The 21,039-nt window shown below is 38.7% G+C and overlaps 1 protein-coding gene across 3 annotated transcripts in view; it reads left to right on the forward strand.

Moving 5' to 3' along the window:
• Positions 1–21,039, forward strand: part of PRRX1 (paired related homeobox 1) — a 76,654-nt gene that overhangs the window by 46,901 nt on the left and 8,714 nt on the right. For 2 of the 3 annotated variants that reach the window (XM_006711388.4, NM_022716.4), the window contains 2 exons: positions 10,058–10,233; positions 16,552–16,733. In XM_006711388.4, coding sequence (XP_006711451.1) covers positions 10,058–10,233; positions 16,552–16,733 — 358 coding nt within the window. Of the gene's footprint in view, positions 1–10,057; positions 10,234–16,551; positions 16,734–20,608; positions 20,681–21,039 lie in introns of all 3 variants that reach the window. The other variant, NM_006902.5, reaches the window with a different exon arrangement.

Genomic DNA, 21,039 nt, shown 5'->3' on the forward strand with positions numbered 1-21,039 from the left:
AACATACAACATTTCTCTCTACTCAGAGCATCTCATCGCTTGGCATGTAGGTGCTCAATAGATATTTGTTCAAATGAATGAATAAAGTGATAGGGAGGATGCTAAAGTCAAGATTGAATGTAACCATTGTTAGTGGCATCCATTTTGGGATTACCCTAAAATGGTTGATATAGGCAGTGTTTGCAGCAAGGCTGACGCCACTTGACTCATGGTTAAGAGGTCAAGGATGGCAGAGAAATGAAGTATGTAGCTATTCTTATTTCCTTTTAGTAAATTTAGAAGATAGAATAACTCTTTATAGTTATTCTAAAAAACATCTTAGGTTTCTTCTTTCTCTAGACTGTGGTTAGAGGTAAACTAATGTCTTCTAAAGATTCACATTGATTTCAGTCTGGAGTTTATCCCTGCAGAGTGCTGTGGGCATGGAGGAATATGTCAATCATTGAAGCTTTCCTCAGGCCTGGTAATTACATTACAGCCCTTATGCAAGATAAAATCCAGCCTAACTTTTTCTCAAAAAAGTAAAAAAACACACCACCAACACCATCACCACCAAAAGAATATAATTCAGTCATCATGCTAAATGAGCAATTATTGAAAGTTTTTTATTAGGCTAGGCATTGGAAGTGTAAAAACTATCCTATAACTCCACAATGCTGAATTTGAAACAGATCTTAGTCCCATAGCCCAACTTACAATTATGCCAGTTAGGACACTTGAGGGCTAACATCACAGGCTTTCCCAGTAACTCCCCTGAATTAGAATCAAAGTCTCCTTATTTCCAATCCAAAGCCATTTCCACTATTGCTCCATAATACATATTTTACAATAAAATATAAGGAAATGTGTACAGCTAGTTGTCACAATTTGTATCATTTAAAAATATATGTATCACTTGTATCTTAAAGCAGTTGTCATGGACTGAATGTTTACATCCTCCCCAAATTCATATATTGAATCCGTAACCCCCAGTGTGACACTATTTGGAAGTAAGACCTTTGAAAGGTAATAAGGTTTAGATGAGGTCACATGAGTGAGTCCTCATGATGGAATTAGTGTCTTTATAAGAAGAGACCAGGAAGCTTGCTCTCTTTTGCTCTCTCTGCCATATGAGGATATAGTAAGAAGGCAGTTGTTTGCAGGCCAGGAAGCAGGCCCTCAACAGGAACCCATATAGGCCAGCCCCTCTTCCTGAGGCTTCCAGCCTCTGAAACATATTTCTGTTGTCTAAACTACCCAGTCTATAGTATTTTGTTTTGGCAGCCTGAGCTGACTAAGCCAACAACCCATTTTACAGATACAGAAATTGAAAGCTTCAGATGTTAAAGAATGGTAATTTCCTCAAAAAAGTCAAGCTTTAAGCCACTATTTACACTTCGACTTTTCTTATTTTTTAAACAAAATTTGAATTTTTGTTCTTTAAAGAGAATTTTATTTCATCTAAAAAGTATTTAAAAATATCAAGCTTCTTATTTTGACCATTTTAGCATGTTTTCATCTTCAGATTTATTTGACATCCAAGACCAGAGTAACACCAAGAAGAACTTTGATATCCTTTTCAGCCCTCTTCATTTATTCTATATAGTGTTACAGAATTACCTTTGGTTCTATCTCTTACTGTGATGGAAAGCTAATTCTCTGTTATTGTGGCTTTCTCTGCTATAAGCACCTTGTCCTTTTAACACAAGATAAAAAATTATAAGAAAATTCAAGTCATACTTTTGTTCTCATAAGTTCAAATGCCTTGTAGCTGTCTTTCTATCTAAGCAGAGAAGCTCTGCTCCATCACTCCTGTCCTTCTAAGAGCTGAGCTTACTCATTAACTATGTACATCTCCTTCATTCCTGTCTGCTTCCAGTCTTGGTTTTTTAGAACCTGTGCTTACCAGATTTTTCTTTAGAACATTAAAAATTATAACCAAAAAGATAAGGAATCATTGAAAAAGGTGACATATGATGCTTGCCTCTCATGAAAACACTAGTTTCTACTGGTAATGGCAAGATTGATGTTGTCTCTTTTATGAAGTGACAGCAGTCTCAGTGCAAAGGGAAAAAAACCTCAGCAGAAGAAGACAAGAGGATATGCCTCATCCTCAGCTCTGTTTGTAATCCTAGTCAAATTCCTAGTCAAATACCAGGCACTTCCAAGGGGACCACACATCTGGATTATTGCAAGTTTAGAAAGCTTCTAATATCTCAGTCAGAACTCACTCTTTTCCCAGAACTTTGGTTTCTTCTTATCCTTTTGGAATTTACCAAAATAATCAGACATTTCTTTTTAAAAGAGTCACTGAATAAATAGTGAGTAATATGACTCAACTGTTGTGTTTTTAGGCATATGGCAACCAAATTAGTTAACCAAAAGCAAATAGGCTGGGAAATAATTGAATTTTCATAACCTGTCTTTAGCTCTTGGCTTTCTTTTCTTTCCTGTCTTTTTTTCTGAAGCTAATTTCTAGTGAGACTACTTGTTAAAGGTACCAATTGCTTATCCGTCTGAGTACTAGAATCTATTTGCTTTCTAGATTTTTTTTCCAAAATTTGAATTTAAGAAGGCAAGTTGGCTTTTTAGAAAGCCAAGAATTGAATAATAGCAAAAAAATGCCCCAAATGGAACTTTTGGGGCAAACACCTGTGCATGATATATATCCTTGTGCAATTTTGAGTCTACCCTATATCTCAGTTCTTGCTGAATTTTAAAGCTTTTATTCATTTTTCCAGTTTCCTAGTTCTGTTATGCTCTCCATCAAACATGACCGAGCCATATAAACGTATTTGAATGGCTTTCTCACTTTCTCTCCAGTTATTTTGTGATAGAAATCTTACTGAACAGCTAAATAACAACAAAGAGTGAGCAGAAGAGTAAAGGTACAGCAGCAATGGCTTGACCAGCCCATTTTTGAGAACACATTATGGTAGCACTGGTAGAAGTAAAATCCACCTCTTGTCAAATGCCTACTATGTGTCAGCCTATGTGCCTTTTATGCATTTATTAAATTTTCAAATGACCCCAGGATGCAGGTGATCCTACTCCCATTTTATCATTTTGGAAACTGAGGCTCAGACAAGTGAAACATCTTATCCAAGGCCACACAGCTAGTCAGTGGCAGGATCTGTATGAGAACAAAGGTTGTTCTTATTTCTAAGCTGGTTTACTTTCTACTCCACTCCACTTCCAACTATGCTTCCATCCCAATTATAGCTAGTTGGGTCTGACAAAAAGATTCTTATTTTCCCCTTTTTTGGCATCCTGCAATGAATTGAAAAAATGAGTAAACTGGTAATTCATCCATAGAAAAATTGGAGGTAGCTTACATATCTGAAGCCAGAATTTCATGTCTTTATCAAAGAGAGGGTACTCTGTTCAATAATGCATCTCTTACAGTAAGAATTCTAACATATTCATGAATACATTATTGTTATTCGTATTAGTAAATTATGGATTCAGGAATACATTAGTATTATTATTAGTAGTAGTATTTCATGTCTGATTATTCACTTACTGAACATTGATAAGAGCTTCAATTAAATACAAACACAAATGTTGTGCTCTGGAGTTATAGCCTAAAACAGATTCATCATCACACGGAAAATGCCCACATAATGCGGTGGGGTGGGGAGATTTATCAACATAGCCTCAGAAGTAAGTACAGTTCCAATATGGGACTACATGGAAAACCTTGCTTTGTGTTGGATATTCTCAGGGGTTCTGATCAATAATCCTTTAAGGAAAATGTCTTAAGAGAGTTAAAGCGCTTAAGGTGATATGGATTGTGTTAACATTTTTGGCGCTATAGAAAAGTATTTGTTCTATAGAGGTGAAAAGAAATATATAACAAAGAAGCTAAAAACAGTGCAAATCACCTTAGAGTACCTCACATTCTTGAGTGTTTTCTACTTGAAAGGAGGGTTGGCTATATTGAGAAAGTTAAATTTTGAGCTATCTACACAGAACCACTGTTGCTTTACACAGAGCCACTGACTCATCTCTTTGATCAAAACCATGCAAAATAATGTAATTTCACACTTCTTAGAGCATTTTGTTCTCCAGAGAACATATGTCATTTCCCAAATCACATATAAGATGTTTTAATTCTATTTGCTAAGGCTTAGTCTGATACTTGACTAAAAATGAACCAAGTCTATACCAAGATGACAGTAAAGACGACCATACAAAGTTTAGGGGCTTTAGTGGGCTATAGTTCAGGTAGCTGTGCTGTGATAATGCGCAATAGCTGCACAGTTGGGTATTTGTATTGGCAGAGATTTGTTCGCTCTTGATACGTGCTGGGAGTCAATGATGGAGGACCGCTGAAGGGCTATGCTGTTGAGACGATGTGTGTGTGCTGCTAAACTTGGCTTTGGTCATTGTGATGCACTAAGCTCAGTCTATATTGCAACAATCTTCCCAGTTAAGTGACCCATGTGCCATTTATCAGGACACATATTAGAAAGATGCTGTCCTAATTTCAGTTAATGCTAAGTGTAGCCAAAGAAACTCAAATGAATGCCACAGCTCTATTTCACTGCTTTTCATGGGCCTTGCAATAAAAGCTAAACGGTTTTTAGTGGCTTTTGCAATTACACTTCCTTTCAATTTTCCAAAGGTTACGGGGCCTGAACCACACAAATCCCATTAAAGTAAGTAGCTGTTGTGCAATATAAGTTCCTTTGAAAACATTGTTCAATGCCCATAAAATGATCAGCGGGCTGCACTTTAGATCCGCTTGCCTGCCATGCTTTCAACCAAAAGGCAGATGACAAACTTTGATGTGGTAGTTGGTTTCTGCTACTGGAGCTGGCATTTTATCTTCTTGCATCAGATTTTTTCCCAAACTGATGTGACCCAGGCATAGGAAACGCATTTTTCTTCAGATTTTATTCCTAAAATATGTTTTTCCGTACCTTTAAATTACGTTTGGCTGACCAATGATTTGGAATCTCTAAGGTTCCTCCCACAGGATGCAGAGCAGAAGAGGGTGAGGGGTGTTGGAGTTAGCTGAAGCTTGCATGGCAAGAGCAAGGCCTTAGTGAATAGGGATCACCACATGCTGTCAGGTCCCCATGCTTGAGGATGGCACTTTATGCCTTCTTCTCCACCTTCCCTCTAGGGCAACTTCAGCAGCCACATGAGGAGTCCAGAGTGAACTTCATACTAGAGCCGAGGTCAGGGCTATTGTTCTCTTTAACTCATATTTGAATGCACAGAGGGTAGCCTACCTTGGGCTTACAGTCTTCTTTTCTCAAGAAGTTCTTCATATGTATTCTAACATTGTGATCCATTAGAAACACCCATCTCTTTTAGTACCTCTTTCTTGTGTATTTTCTTGGTGGTTTAAGTAATTCATGTATCCTGCAGCCGCTTTTCTAGTAAAAGATAAAAATGAAAGAATAATTCCTACATTTGCAGAGGAATCAGACCACAAGGCTTTTTCCCTCTCTAAATCTGGTGACTATCCTATCTGATAAAGAAACACTGCAAAAGAATTTTTCCTCTGTGGGTAAAACTATCCAGAGACAAAAGACAATGCTAACATAATTACTTGCTATGTATTGTTAAAAAGAATTCAGAAATTACTCAGTCCTTTAAAACTTTAAATAAATCACTAAAATTCTAATATTGTGGGACTGCTTCTATACCATGACATTACTATAACTCTTTCAACTTTTACTGTAATGTAATATGTCAAGGAATCCTATCTCTTTTCTATAGAAATACCTGAATACATTAAGGTGACAAAATATTTACAGAGAAAATATTGAACCATAATTTTTAAAAAGTATTTGATAATATACTAATATATGTATATAAATTTAGAGCCTGAGAAATCAATATGAATTGGTGCTATCAGAAAAGGTTTATAGAGAAGGTAAGATTTGAGATGTGTTTTAGGAACAGAGAGATTTTAAACTGTGTCCTAAAGTGAAAATCATCTCCTATGATTGTGGGAGAAGATAGAAGATGGGGCATACTACTAAGCTAAAATAACCCTGCACTTATTTAATTGATGAAGCAAGGACTTATGGATATCATTGTAAAGAAGAATGCAAGAACATCTGGATCAAAATGGCTTTCTAGATGAGAATGGTTGCATTTTTTAATGGCTATTCTGGTAGAAAGGACAACATGTGATATTCATCGACCCTCTTTCTCAGACCCTCTTTATAACAGCTAGTATGGAAAAATCTGTCTTTCCTATAAATATTTTCCCTGGGGAATGGTTTCCATTTATGTGTTGGATGCTTTGTTGTTTCTCTCTTGCACAGCGTGTATGTTGTCATCTGCACTTAAGAGTGGAATGGAATTGGGAATCCTGGTTTCTTGCTCTGGCTGGAGGTCCCAAGTCCGCATTGTGATTTTGGGCAAGTCACGTTGTTCTTCTAGATCTAATTTAACTCATCTGTAAAATAAGATGGTTGAATTCGACAATTTCATGGGTTTCATTAGATGCCAATATTTTATGACTCATGATCCCAGCAAGACTACACCTATTTATAAGGCTGTTTTGCTTGTTTTTACTAAGAGCAACAATAACTACATATTTTCAGTTTACTCAATCATCAAAAAAATTATAAAATCCATAAACACTTTGGATTTGAAACATTGCAACTTTGATAAAAAATGTATCCATGTAGGCCAGGAGCAGTGGCTCACGCCTGTAATCCCAGCACTTTGGGAGGCCGAGGCAGGTGGATCACGAGGTCAGGAGATCGAGACCATCCCGGCTAACACGGTGAAACCTCGTTTCTACTAAAAATACAAAAAATTAGCTGGGCGTGGTGGCAGGTGCCTGTAGTCCCAGCTACTCGGGAGGCTGAGGCAGGAGAATGGTGTGAACCCAGGAGGCGGAGGTTGCGGTGAGCCAAGATCGCGCCACTGCACTCCAGCCTGGGCGACAGAGCGAGACTCCATCTCAAAAAAAAAAAAAAAAATGTATTCATGTTTCCGCTGGTTATTCTACAACTTGGTGAATCCTTCCCATTTTAGAATGCCAAAGAATGAGATGCATTCTAATATCCAGTTGGATGTCAGTATCTTCAGACAGCATGTTTCAAAATCAACTTTCACTGTAGTTGTTTTTGCAAGAAAAGATGACCCTCTTGGAATTAGTAAAAATACACTGCTTTCTCTCCCCTGTATTCAACCAGAGCCAAGAATCTGATAAATGTGTTTATCACAGGTCCTTCAGATACCCTGCATTTGTAAACCTCTACAGTGTTTATGTTTCCTTTTGTACTGCTGAAGATACTGTGCTGGGTCCTGTTCTGCATTCTTGGGGAAAAACAGGGAGCTCACATTTTGTGATTAGTGAGCAAAGACAGACCATCCCCAGGACTGCTGCTCGAGCTGTCTCTGTTGCCCGCTCATCGTCTCTTTCTATTATACTTGCACTCTGAAGGACATTTGCCAGAGCCAGACTCCCTGGATCCCTGTTATTTGTGTCTTTTCTCACCTTCAACATGATCTGAACTAGTGTTTTCATTTGTTAAAAACAACAAGAACATTCACTGGGAAACTTTTGCTGGAATTGCTTCAGGTCATCATAGCTATTTATTCCCTGTCATAAACTATAATTCTCCATTTCCCTTACTCCCACATCAGGGGAGTTGGTGGTTTATGGTAGACAGTCAGTGGAATTTGATTGAACAGTGGAATATTTCAAAGAACTACTGAGATTATGTAGCAGGTTGTAATACTAAGAACAAAACATAAAATATTCTTGGTCTTGATTGCAGTTGGCAGTACAAGAAGAAATAGGCTTTTGAAACAACATAAAAGATTTATAATTTGTGGTTGCACCTAAGAAAGAATTTTCTTTGAGAGAAGAAAACAAGTCATGGGATTGGCTTAATAGGGGATTTTCTCTATATGATTAAAAATAATGGCTTAGTGTCTAATTGGTCTCAGTTAAAACAAAGTACAGAAGCTAAGGATTTTTCTTTTTTTTTTTTGCAGACTTCTGTTTTGGGGGCATGAAATTCAGATAATTGTGCTATCACAAGGGCTTGTATTACTTAGAAAGACCTGAAGTACGAGACAAAATGATTTGGAAAAATGAATAGGAATGGGAGGAATGCTTCCAAATATTAAATAGGAAGGAGAATGCAAGTGCAATGTAACTACTGAAAGGTATTTAATCCTAGGTGTTTGAATTCTAGTGCTGATCTTATTGCAAACTAATTTTGCTAATAGCTAGTGGTATAATCAGTGATGTTGGTTGGAATATTTTAGGCATTGGTAGATCTCAAAAATTATTATTAAATTTGCTCCATTTCCAAGATGCAGCTGATCTTACATTCTTACTGAGTGTCACAGAAGTGCCACCAAAGCTGGGCCCTGAGGTAAGGCACCACAAGTGTAAAATACCAAAGAGAAGGTGGACTGTACAAAACCATGAAGCAGAGAGAAAGGTATGGTAGCTTCTTGGCTGGAGGAATCTGGTTGAGATCATCTGACATTTTTTTCTACAGAAACAGTCTTCTAAGGACAAGAGGAGTTTCACGTTTTCCCTGAAAACAAACTCAGCAAGCATTTACTATATCTGGGTGCTTTAATTATCAAGAAGAAATGTGCAGTCTCTATTCTAAGCTTCAAGGGTATTCCTGGTAAGGAAGCATTGATGAAGAAGGATTCTCTTAGCAAAAGACTTAGAGGCCTCAGTTGTCAGGCCTCTGGATTTAAGCTACATTTTGACTCTGTACACAAATCTAGATCATTCCCTCAATTTGTAATAAAAACAATATTATAGCTGAGGTAGGTGTCATCATGACTTGTGCTAATAGTTTTGCTGAGTACATTGTGTGTTTATAATCAGAGAGAATCAGGAGAATTTGCATATTAGAAGAGAGAGCCAAAAGTACTTTCTAAATAGTGAATGGCCAAGCTCTCCTTGTTCTCCCCATCCTCACTCCAACACTTCATAATTTTCTTTGGGCTGAGCCTCTTTGGGGAAAAGCTATGGGGAATGTAAGTCAAGTTCATTAGATGGAGCATGTGACTTGGGTTTTGGCAGCATGGTGTTGCAAATCTCTGGGACCTACACAGGCTCTGCAGAGCTCAGGCCTTAGGGTGATAGTTTGATTGAGGTGTCAGCACAGCTGGTATTCCATTCAGTTTCACATATACATCACTCCTGACTGGGCTGGGTGGGGGCAGCAGGAGAGGAGCATACTACACTCTGACTGCTATGGACAACCTGGACAATTATCTCACCACGCTACCTTCAGGGGAACTCAGAGAAAACCAAGGAAGGATCTTGACAGGTAAAAATGGAGTTGTGATTCTTCAAAGGTCCCTAAGATCTCAGGGTCCTAGAACTCAAGTTTGAGTGAAACATTTTCAGGGATCTTTCTGAACTGTTTCCTGTTCTTGGGTTCTCAGGGAGTGAGCCCCAGGCTAATGTTAGCTTGGGTTGATGGCATTGTAGCACTAGTCCTGATCTAGGCTGAGGCCTCTGAAGCCTGCCTTTGCAACAGCATGGAGCCTTGAGTGAATGGTGTTAGAAATTACTTGCTGCTTCAAGGAGAGTTCATGGTAAAACAAATCCCTGTAATGTGGTTTGAACATAGTTTCCTCTCTATAACTCTATGTATTTGTTCATGTATATATGTTAGGAGAGAAGGAACCAGGAGATAATTGGTCTACTTGATTATTAAACTATATGAGTGAGCATAATATTGTCAAAGACAAATAAGGTACAAAACCATTTACTCTTCTTCCTTTATCTCTAGAGAAGTCCAAAGAACATGGGCAGGGGTAAGATTTTCCTTGACAAACAGGCATCAAGGATCATGCAAGTAATGTCTCTCTGACAGTTCAGATCTTGTCCCAGATTTAGAGGCAACAGCCAAGCATTAGAGTTGCTGGGATTCTTGACATATGAACTTGAGAGCGCTAATGGCCACATTTGCACATGCAAAGTGGCATTTGGCTATAGGACTTTGATAAAGATGTGAGCAAATGAAGCAAGATCTCACTATAGATATACCATAAAAAAGTCTTAACTGGGACTCCTACAGTGAATTTGGCTTCTTTTCATCATTGTGTTCTATTCCAGATGACCAGCTGAACTCAGAAGAAAAAAAGAAGAGAAAGCAGCGAAGGAATAGGACAACCTTCAATAGCAGCCAGCTGCAGGCTTTGGAGCGTGTCTTTGAGCGGACACACTATCCTGATGCTTTTGTGCGAGAAGACCTTGCCCGCCGGGTGAACCTCACCGAGGCGAGAGTGCAGGTAACTCAAGCTGTGAGAGGCTGGCACCAAGTAGTACCCTCCTCAGAGGCACATCTCTGAAAACTGTTTAAAAACACAAATTATAGCCCAGCACAGTGGCTCATGCCTGCAATCTCAGCACGTTGGGAGGTTGAGGCAGGCACATTGCTTGAGCTCAGGAGTTCGAAACCAGCCTGGGCAACATAGTGAGACCTCATCTCTACCAAAAATACAAAATAAATAAATAAACAGCCAGGCATGATGCTGCGTGCCTGTGGTCCCAGCTTCTTGGAAGGCTGAGGTGGGAGAATTGCTTGAGCCTGGGGGGTGGAGGTTGCAGTGAGCTGAGATCACGCCAGTGCACCCCAGCCTGGGTGACAGAGTGAGACCCTGACTCAAAAATAAATAAACAAACAAACAAATAAATAATACCCAAGTTATAGGCTTCAGATGGGAGCTGGTACTTATAAGGGTTACATATGGTCAGCATGAGGATAGAATCCTGTTTCCAGCTGTGTTTCTTTGGGCAGCAAGTATTTTTTTAAATAAAATTGAATGCCTTCAGGTAGGGCAGAATAATCCTTGCTACAGGTTCCTCTCCCAGCACCCCTTTCTTTCTGACACTTCCAGATTTATGTGATATACATTGTCCATCTGAGTATTTTACTCTGCACCCTTAGATTTCAATCTGATCTCGAAGTGGTTAAAGAGATGAATTCTCTGTCCCCTACCTCAGCTCTCCTCCCCAGTCTTCAAGAAACTTGTTGTAAGTACACATGAGTATGAGCACTGATGGAGTGGGAAATGAATACTTATGAACTGAGTTAAGAGCACACTTAAGTGGATGATTTTATTTTCCTTCAGTGTCTCTGTGAACTGAAAGAAGGTAAGAGCATGAAAGGCAGGAAAAAGAGAATAGCCATTCTTTCTAACATTAGTGCCATGACACACCAACTGCAAGCCAGACATCTAGAACATGATACAACCTGCGATTAACTCATAACAATACGTAATACTAACACTACTGGAGCCCTTATATGCCAAGTAGTGTTCTTTACATAAGTAATTTATTTCATCCTCACACCAATTCAGTGATGTGGATAGTGTTCTTCATTTTGCAGATGAGAAAACTGAGACACAGAGAGGTCAAAGTATTTTGCACAACATCACATAGCTAGGAAGTGTCTGAAATAGGATTTGAATGCAGATAGGCAGATCCAGAGTTCATGCTTTTAATTACCACTCCCCACCCCGCCTCCCAAAAAAACTGAATGAATAAGAGTCTCTTGGCTAAATGCCTTTTCAAGTAGTGCTTTGTTGTGTCTCTGCTGAAAGATCTTGTCTTCCATATTGCCAGTAGCAAGATGCTGTTTTGATAAGGTGGGTAGGTCCAATCTGTCTTGTCTTCCTTACAAAATTATTGTTTGTATATCTATGTTCAGTCTGAGTGTTAATAATTTCTTTCTGCAAATGATAACCCTCTTGAACAGCCAGAACTTGAGCTAGACCTCAGGGTAGATTCCTAGCCCATCGATTAGGGCCTGTGTCTATGGAGGAGGCACAGTACACAGTGGGAGACCACTGTGGAGTTGATGCAGAGATCCTAGTGCTCCCTTCAGCCTGAAGAGAAAGTGTGAACGCTTTCCCACGGGGAAACAGGGACCTCACCAAGAAGTACTCCCCAAGAGAAAAAAGAAAAATGTCAGTGACAAAAGAAGAAAGTCGTGGGAGCCTGTGGGGCCCCTGAGGGTAGATCAGGAGGAAGTGTGAGTGCAGGTGCCCCTTTGGGCTCAAGTGAGAGTGACCCATAGAGACAATACTCAGTTTTGCTCTCCCATTCGCCATCCAGTGCAGATTATGCAATTTGTCTTCCCACACCCTCTTCCTCAACACTGCTTACCGCAAATCTCTAACTCTGCTGTTAAATCCTTTCCTCTCTCCTCAAAAACCCCATGTCTTTTATGCCACGCCTCAGCTTGCGGTGGTGTAATGAATACTTTTAGTCCAGTAACCCACAGCACACTAATGTGCCACTTTTGCTATGGTGATCTAAATTTTAAATAAGGAAAACTGCAGAGGGCAATGGTGGACATTTCAAAAAAAAAAAAATGAAAGACCAATTTTGGGGTTGGGGGACTGTCTTGCCCCTATCATGACAGGGAAATACCTTTTTTATATGTTGGAACTATTTTTTATTTCTCTTTTCCCACCTTGCTATGATTTAATGACTTTTAGAGTAGTGAACATTTCCTAAGTGAGTAGGGCAGAGTTCTCCCTTCATGACTTCATTCTTCCCCCATGAAAGCCTACCTTTTCCCAGTCTGAACCAATCCCTTCTGATTCTGGGCTTCTTTGCATTTATGGCATTTATCATAACATGAAATGTATTATATTGAGTTGTATCTGGGCCAACTTCCCCCACAGGACTGAGGAGGCCTCTTGGATGGAGGCCATGTTTTATTCATCTTTGCAACATTTATTTTTTTCTTCTTTTCCTCTTTTTTTCCTCATACACTTATCAAGCACATATTATACTCTTGAACCCGGTTTTGTTTTGCTGGGGATGAATAAGATACTGACCCTCTCCTTAAGGATGTTTGGACTGGGGTGGAGAAGATAGATGTACAAACCATACACTTATGATATCATAATATGATTCCTACATCAGTGGAATGTACAATAATTAGTGATAGACCAGAGGAAGGAATGATCCAATCTGCCTGGGGGAAAAGGGAGAGAATTTATGTTTATTAGGCACTAATTCTGGGCCAATTCTCAAAACTATCCTGTAAGTAGATATTGTTATCTCCAACTGATTAGGAGACAAAGGAGCAGAGAAATTAAACAACTCACAGGACAAATCTTGAAAGTAGTGTAGCCAGTATGACTTTTAAGTCATGTTCAATGTTAAAGTTGAACTTTGAAAAAAATATATGGGCTTTGATACCCGGACAAAGCGGGGAAGAATATAATAGGCAAAGGAAATATCCGGTGTGAATATTTTTAGGTAGGAAAGGGCCTAACACATTTAGGAGTCCACAGGTAATTTTGAGCACAGGGTAGGAGCTGGAGCTCTAGAGGGCCAGTGTATGAGGTTAGAGTGATGTGGTTTGTGGCTGGATTGATGGACAAAGAGCTAATTCCTGAACAGCCTTAGTTCTATGGTTAAGAAGTTTTTATTTTATTCTGTGAGTAACGGGGAGCCAGTAGATGATATAAAACGAGGCAATAAGGTGATTGTATTAACATTTAAGATGATAGCTCTAAGAGCAATGTGAAGGCACATTAGAAACAGAAGAGCCAGGAGTGTGGGAAGCCAAGTCCAGATTCCACCTTGGCCAATTTCCACCCAGGCCCTTCATGCTGCACAGCTCTACAGGGCACTGATCACGTGGTAATTTATGTGTATGTTGGCCCCTCGAGCTGTACAACTGCTCACTCCACAAAAAGAATTTTCTTCTCCCATACCTTGTTATACATTTCTATAATTGCACTTAAAATACTTGTTTTGTAGTTTTTCAAATTTACATGTCTTCATTTAATAGGTTTTGATCTGCTTAAAAGCAGAGAATAAGTTTCTCATCTCTCTCTTTCCAGCATTTAGTACTGGGCCTGGACCATAGCAGGTGCTCCATAAAGATTTCTTGAATGAGTAAATGAATGAGTAGAATTCCATAGCACTCTAGAAGAGTTGTATGATCATGAATTGGATGTCCTTGACTTCAGAAACTCAGCCATTTATTATTTATGTGAATTTCAACAGATTACAGTCATACAATGCTTAACAATGGGGATCTGTTCTGAGAACTGCATTTTTAGGTAATTTTGTCATTGTGCAAACATCATGGAGTCTACTTACACAAATCTAGATGGTATAACTGACTGCACACCTAGGCTATAGGGTATAGCTTATTGCTCTTAGGTCACAAGCCTGTACAGCATATTACTCTACTGAATAGTGTAGGCGATTGTAATACCATGGTAAGTATTTGCGTATCTAATCATATCAAATAGCAAAAATTTGGTATTATAATTTAATGAGACCACTGTCGTATATGAGGTCCATCATATGTGGTGCATGACTGTATTTAATCTCATTGAAATTGCTTCCTCAACTGTAAAATAGAAATAATAAAACCTAATACGTGGAATTGTCATGTTGACTAGAAATAATGTATGTAGTGTGCTTATATAAGTTCCTAGCCCTGGTAACACTTAAAAAACAATATCGTTTGCCCACTTTTTCATGGGATTGTTTGTTTTTTTCTTATAAATTTGTTTAAGCTCCTTGTAGATTCTGGATATTAGACCTTTGTCAGATGGATAGATTACAAAAATCTTCTCCCATTCTGTGGGTTGCCTGTTCACTCTGATGATAGTTTATTTTTCTGTGCAGAAGCTCTTTAATTAGATCCCATTTGTCAATTTTTGCTTTTGTTGAAATTGTTTTTGACGTTTTCATCATGAAATCTTTGCCCATGCCTATGTCCTGAATGATATTGCCTGTATTTTCTTCTAGAGCTTTTATAGTTTGGGGTTTTATACTTAAGTTTTTAATTTATCTTGAGTTAATTTTTGTATATGGTGTAACAAAGAGGTCCAGTTTCAGTTTTCCGCATATGGCTAGCCAGTTCTCCAAGCACCATTTATTAAATAGGGAATCCTTTCCCCATAGCTTGTTTTTGTCAGGCTTGATGAATATCAGATGGTTGTAAATGTACAGTCTTTTCTGAGTTCTCTATTCTGTTCCATTGGTCTGTGTGTGTGCTTTTGTACTAATACCACGCTGTTTTGGTTACTGTAGCCTTGTAGAATAGTTTGAAGTCAGATAGTGTGATACCTTCAGCTTTGCTCTTTTTGTTGAGGATTGTCTTGGCCATACGGGCTCTTTTTCGTTCTATATAAATTTTAAAGTAGATTTTTCTAATTCTGTGAACAATGTGAATGGTAATTTGATGGGAATAGCATTAGATCTATAAATTACTTTGGATGTATAGCCATTTTTGTGATATTGATTCTTCCTATCCATGAGCATAGAATGTTTTTCCATTTGTTTGTGTCCTCTCTGATTTCCTTGAGCAATGGTTTTTAGTTCTCCTTGAAGAGGTGCTTTACTTCTCTTCTTAGCTGTATTCCCAGGTTTTTTATTCTCTTTGTAGCAATTGTGAATGGGAGTTCATTCATGATTTGGCTCTTTGCTTTTCTGTTGTAGGTGTATAGGAATACTTGTGATTTTTGCATACTGATTTTGCACCCTGAGACTTTGCTGAAGTTGCTTATCAGCTTAAGAAGTTTTTGGGGTGAGACGATAGGGTTTTCTAGATACAGGATCAGGTCATCTGCAAACAGAGACAGTTTGACTTATGTAGCAAACCTGCACATCCTGCACACGTATCCCAGAACTTATAAAATAAAATAAAAATAAATAAAATTAAATTATAGGTTTATTATTAGTTGTAGCAAATGCTGTCAGTGCTGTCCATTTCCCTTGAACCCTACAATTAGGTGTAGTCTGGTCAGCTTCCAACTTTCAGTGCCTGCATTTCTGTGCCAGCAGTTTCTTCCTAGAACTTCAGGAGAGTGCCCTGCCTTCAGCATTCTAGAAGTGCTGGAACATTAATAGACAATGACTGACAGGATCCAGTGTACACACACCCAGCTCTATCACCTCCAAGAGGGATAACTCTGAAGTGTGTGTTCTACGTTAGTCTTAGTCTTCAGGTTCTCTGCAGGATTGAGCTACCACAGAGATAGCTGGTTTAGTAGTACACCCTTTAGTGGTTGCCTTTTCATCTCTGTTACTTCCTTGCTCCCCAAATGGTGGTCTTTGCACCTCCCAAATAAAACATTTCCTTCTTAAATCTTTGTTGGAACATCTACTTTTGGGAGATGGGGAATTTTCTTAAAATATAATTATTATGAAAGCAGATGAAATTTTCACATTTTGAAGAATTTTGAAAAAGCTTTTAGAAAAGTCATTATTTCTGTGGCAGAAGCCTAATGAGATTTTTCTTCACTTTTCTTGATTACAATTGTAACAGGGATTATAACCCATATTTTGCTGTCCCGTGGGTAAGTCACAGATCCCATATCTGGAGACCTGATTACTGGAGAATTTCATGGTCTTGTTGTAATAGTCTTGACCTTTAAGAATGGCCCTCATTGAGGGAAGGCGGATGGCATGTTTCTATTGTTCTACGGAGAATTCCATAGCCATCTTATATCTTCTTTGGGAAGGCATTATATAGTAAAATCAAGCAGAATTTCATTCATGTAACCCCTTCTTCTTTGTTTTTCCTCTCTTTCCTTATGCCTTCTTGCCTCCTAACAATCCTCCAGGTGTGGTTTCAGAACCGAAGAGCCAAGTTCCGCAGGAATGAGAGAGCCATGCTAGCCAATAAAAACGCTTCCCTCCTCAAATCCTACTCAGGAGACGTGACTGCTGTGGAGCAGCCCATCGTACCTCGTCCTGCTCCGAGACCCACCGATTATCTCTCCTGGGGGACAGCGTCTCCGTACAGGTGAATGACTGGCCCACTCTCCCTTGCTCCACTTCCACATGTTTCTCAGCGGTCGGTCATGTTTCAAGCTGCTTGTGCAGCTCACCGACATTTCTTACTGGGTTAATCTCTTCAGAGACATTCAACTTGCTGACATCCCCACATTTTCCCAGGAGATTATAAGCTGCCCCAGCAGCAGGGTTTGGGGCAGAAGTGAGAGGGGCAGGCTATCTCACCAATCTCCTCTTGGACTCAGGAACTCTTGCAAAGGTTTCAAAGATGAGGAAGAATCTAAAAGAAAAGATCATTAAGCTGTGCCCAGTGTTCCTCTTGCAACAATTCTGGAACAAAACTTTACCCTGTTTCCAAATTTAAGCTAAATTCGTTGTATTATGCAAATGTAGGGACGTAACTTGTAAAACTCCAAGTATAGGGCCAAAGGCAAACTTTGCAGTAAAACTGGCTTTGAATTAAAAAAAGGAAGAAGGAAGGAAGGAAGAAAGAAAGGAAAGAAGGAAGGAAGGAGAGAGACGAGAGGGACTATGACAGAGAGAGGAGGAAAGAAAAGCCAAGTTCATTCTGATCACTTTCATGGCCAAGGTTCTTTGTTAGTAGGTGTGAATTTCTTATAATGCCAAATGCCTTCCTAATCTATTGCTAATTCTTGTCTACTTGTCTGAAGTTTTCTCTGGGGATCAGTTTGTGTGTATTTGTGTGTGTGCGTGTGTGTGTGTGTCTGTGTGTGTTTCTTTTAAATAAAAAAGGAATGTATAATTTACACTAAACTTTTATATTAAAAAGTTGAACATTTTTAAAGAAACAAATATCAGAGTACTATTTCAATCTCATAAAGAGGCTTTTAACCTCCCATTATTATGCTGTTCAGAAAATATAGGCTGCCAGAAGGGAAGCTGAGACACAAATTCCTAACCCATTGGATTAGTCTAGAGTGACTTTCTTTGAAAATATACCTGAGTACTCTGAGAAACCAGGCCAAGCCTACGTGTTCTCCCTGGCTGATTTCAGTGGAGGAAGAACTATTCAAAAATTCATTTATTATGCTTTTGTTTACCTTTTTATTGTCAAGGTTAATTATTGGTTTAAGGAGAGGTTTTAAATGAAATATAGGAGATTATGTCTCAGATGAAGTTGAATTTCTGACATGAAATGCTACATTTTTGAAATGCAAGTGTTTTTCAAAGGTTCTTAGCTTTAATCAAAGCAAAAAGCCTCATCTAAAAGTTTCTTTCTGTTCCAAATCAGTTCCTTTAGAGAAACATGGTAAATGCACTTGGAAATTTGTTTTAATCCCCTGTTATAAAATTAGCCTGAATTCTTTTTGTCTTAGCACATAGAGACCCTACATCTAGGAAAGTCTTATTCTGGGCCCTATTGCACTCAGATGTGGTGTGCCTTACTGATCTTGAAACATTAGTTATATCTGTGTGCCCTATTTTAAATTTAAACTCCTCTCCTATAAGATTTACTACAAATACATTTTTTGAAGACCACTGTAAAATCACATATTCTCTAATATTTTAAATAAATGAAAGGCTGCTTTATTTCTCTTATAAACATTGGTATAAGAGAAATTTGGTGTGTTCATGAACACGCTAAATGGCTTGGAAAATGGGTGTGGTTCAAAGCCTGATGCTTCAAGATCTCTGGTTTGAATTTGGTCACAACCAGGAAGTATTGCCCCTTTTTCTGTCTGGGTCCTCCATAGGAACTTTTCATACCAGCCATAAACAATCCAGATGGCTGCCACGTGGTCCTTACCAGTGAGAGGCGTCACACAGCACACACTGCATGAATGGGGATGAAATCATTCCTGAATTAATATAGGGTTATATTACTTGGACCTCAGCCATTTGAGCCTCAGTGTCTGCATCATATGTGTTTAGTATATGGACATCTAACTGAAATTATTAACGTGGCAATTTATGCGTGCCTTTTTTGGAAATATTCTATTTTAATGGAAAGAATTATGTAGAAATACTGGATACATTTTTAAAAACATCCATAATTCACCATCTTGACATAACTAGTATATTCATTTTTGTGATTAGAGTTCAATGTTTTATATAGATGTAGCTTTAGTGTATATATTATTTTGTATTCTGCTCTTTTCACTTAAAGTCATATGACCTAGTACATTTTACTCATTTCTTGGTATGCTTTTATATCATTTCTCTCTTAGAAATTGGATTTGTAAAAATTAATTTAGAAAATCATAAAATCTGTTCATATTCTGTATGAAGAATAAATTAATCTTCAGATATAAGCAGAAAAGTGATGTTAAAACAATAATTTAATCAATAATAATGTTTTTTGATCCAATGTTGACTGAAGTGTTTATATTTTGGTTGATTTCTAAAAGTAGCAAAAAGCTATTCTGTTATTTGGAGAATTTTCTGCTATGTTTAGAACCAAACTATGTTATGATTTCACACTTTGAAGCTTGATAGGAAATATTGTTAAGGAAATAAAAAAGAAAAACAAGTGATCCAAAGCAAAGGAAATGATAGACTTTTGTGTTATGAAAAATTAACTCACTGTTCTTGTTGGTACTATTATGTCAAGTTAGTTATCTCACATGTGACACTCATTAAAAGGCATTTCTCTTGGTTAATTCTTGGAACACTGTTGTGTGATAGCTCTGTCTTGCTGTGCTTCCAAAGAAGAGACTAAACACTTGCCCAAATTTAAGTCTTCAGCAAGGAGAATTAGAACTAATGCTTGTGTTCCCTGTTTTCATCCAACATGTTAAGCCACACGACTATATTTTCATTCAAATTAAACCTTGCATTGTATTGAAAGTAGTAAAAAAAGTATAAGATTGGAAAACTATCTAAAATCCCCTTTTTATGCAAGAGATATCTCAGATCAGTGAGGCATGCCTGCAGCTGAAGTCCACACTCTGTGGGGACCTCATCCCATTGGACTGATAGACGTGGCTTGGTCATACAAGCCAGAGACAGTGAGCGACAGTTTTGCCAGAAAGGATATTTTGCTGACTTCCACAGTTATCCCCTGAAAAAAGAAAGGAGAAAACCAAGGCATAAAAGCAGTTATTTGCATATGGTCAGAATTTTGGGTTGGAAAATAGCCAACATACTTTTTTCTGGGTGTCTTTTACATCCAGAGTCATGGATGTGTAATTTATTGTTCAAACTGGGACATTTTTTAGAGTGAAAGGGGAGCATTATTAATAATTATACTAGGACAACAGGTATAAGCCAGGATTGTCCCTAGCAAACTGGGACATATAGTCTGCTCTAATTATAGCTTGTCATGACCTCACTCATTCCCTTGAGCATGTTAGAGGTGATGACATTAGGCAGGCAACTGAGTCACCAGAGGGACAAAGCATTCCCTATCACGGACACTGTTGTCCTGGCAGGTGCCTTCTTTACATCCGTGGCCAGTTAAAGGAAGCTTGTTTTTGGCACACACACCCATTGCTTAACTCAGAACTATTTTTCTTAGGCAACTTGTAAGAGTGAAAGCACACACAAGCACCAGAATTATTCAGACTCACTAATCTTGCAGTGCTTTGCTTCGTGCTTCGTGGGTAGCAGTGATCAACCAAGTCCTGAACTTTTGACTGTTATTTGAGATGAAGTAGCCAAGAAACATTTTCTCAGAGACATCCTTTCCTAGGTGAAGTGGATAGTGAATGGCCTGGTTTTGCATTATTTACCTGAAGTGCCATTTCCAGAGGGAGGGCTGGGCTTAAAAGAAAGCTAGTGATGAGTGAAAGAGAGGTCAGCTATCCTTGTCCACAGCTTCCCTCCCCATCCTTCTCCTCCCCTCATTTGATCGTGGTCATGGTGCTGCCTGACATCTGCTGAACGCATTTGGCTTATTTCTCCCTTTCACACTTTCAAAAATAGATCCTCGTCCCTCCCAAGATGTTGTTTACACGAGGGGCTTCATAACGGATTCTAACGGAAGACACTGAAAAGGTAACTTGTCAGAGGGGGAAGAGGGTGGCTGCTTGGGGTAGGGTTTAAGTGGGAATTCAGAGTGTTTAAGAAAGTGGGGGTTGCAGTTCTAGAAATTTCAGCAGTGAAGTCCTCAAGTGAGGAATATTATTGGTAACCAGAGCTGCAAGAAAGCATGTCCACTAAATGAAGCATAGTGTGATACTAATCTAGAGCAGGGCTCTTCAGAGATTGCTGTGCACAGGAAACATCTGGGATCGCGTGACTGTGCAAACTCTGATTCACTAATTCCAGGTTGGAGCTTGGATTGTGTATCTCTAACTTGCTTCTAGGTGATGCTGATGCTGTTGACACTTGGTACACATTTTGAATAGCGAGAC

This window comes from Homo sapiens, chromosome 1 (assembly GCF_000001405.40).
Source record: "Homo sapiens chromosome 1, GRCh38.p14 Primary Assembly".
Taxonomy (NCBI): Eukaryota; Metazoa; Chordata; class Mammalia; order Primates; family Hominidae; genus Homo; species Homo sapiens.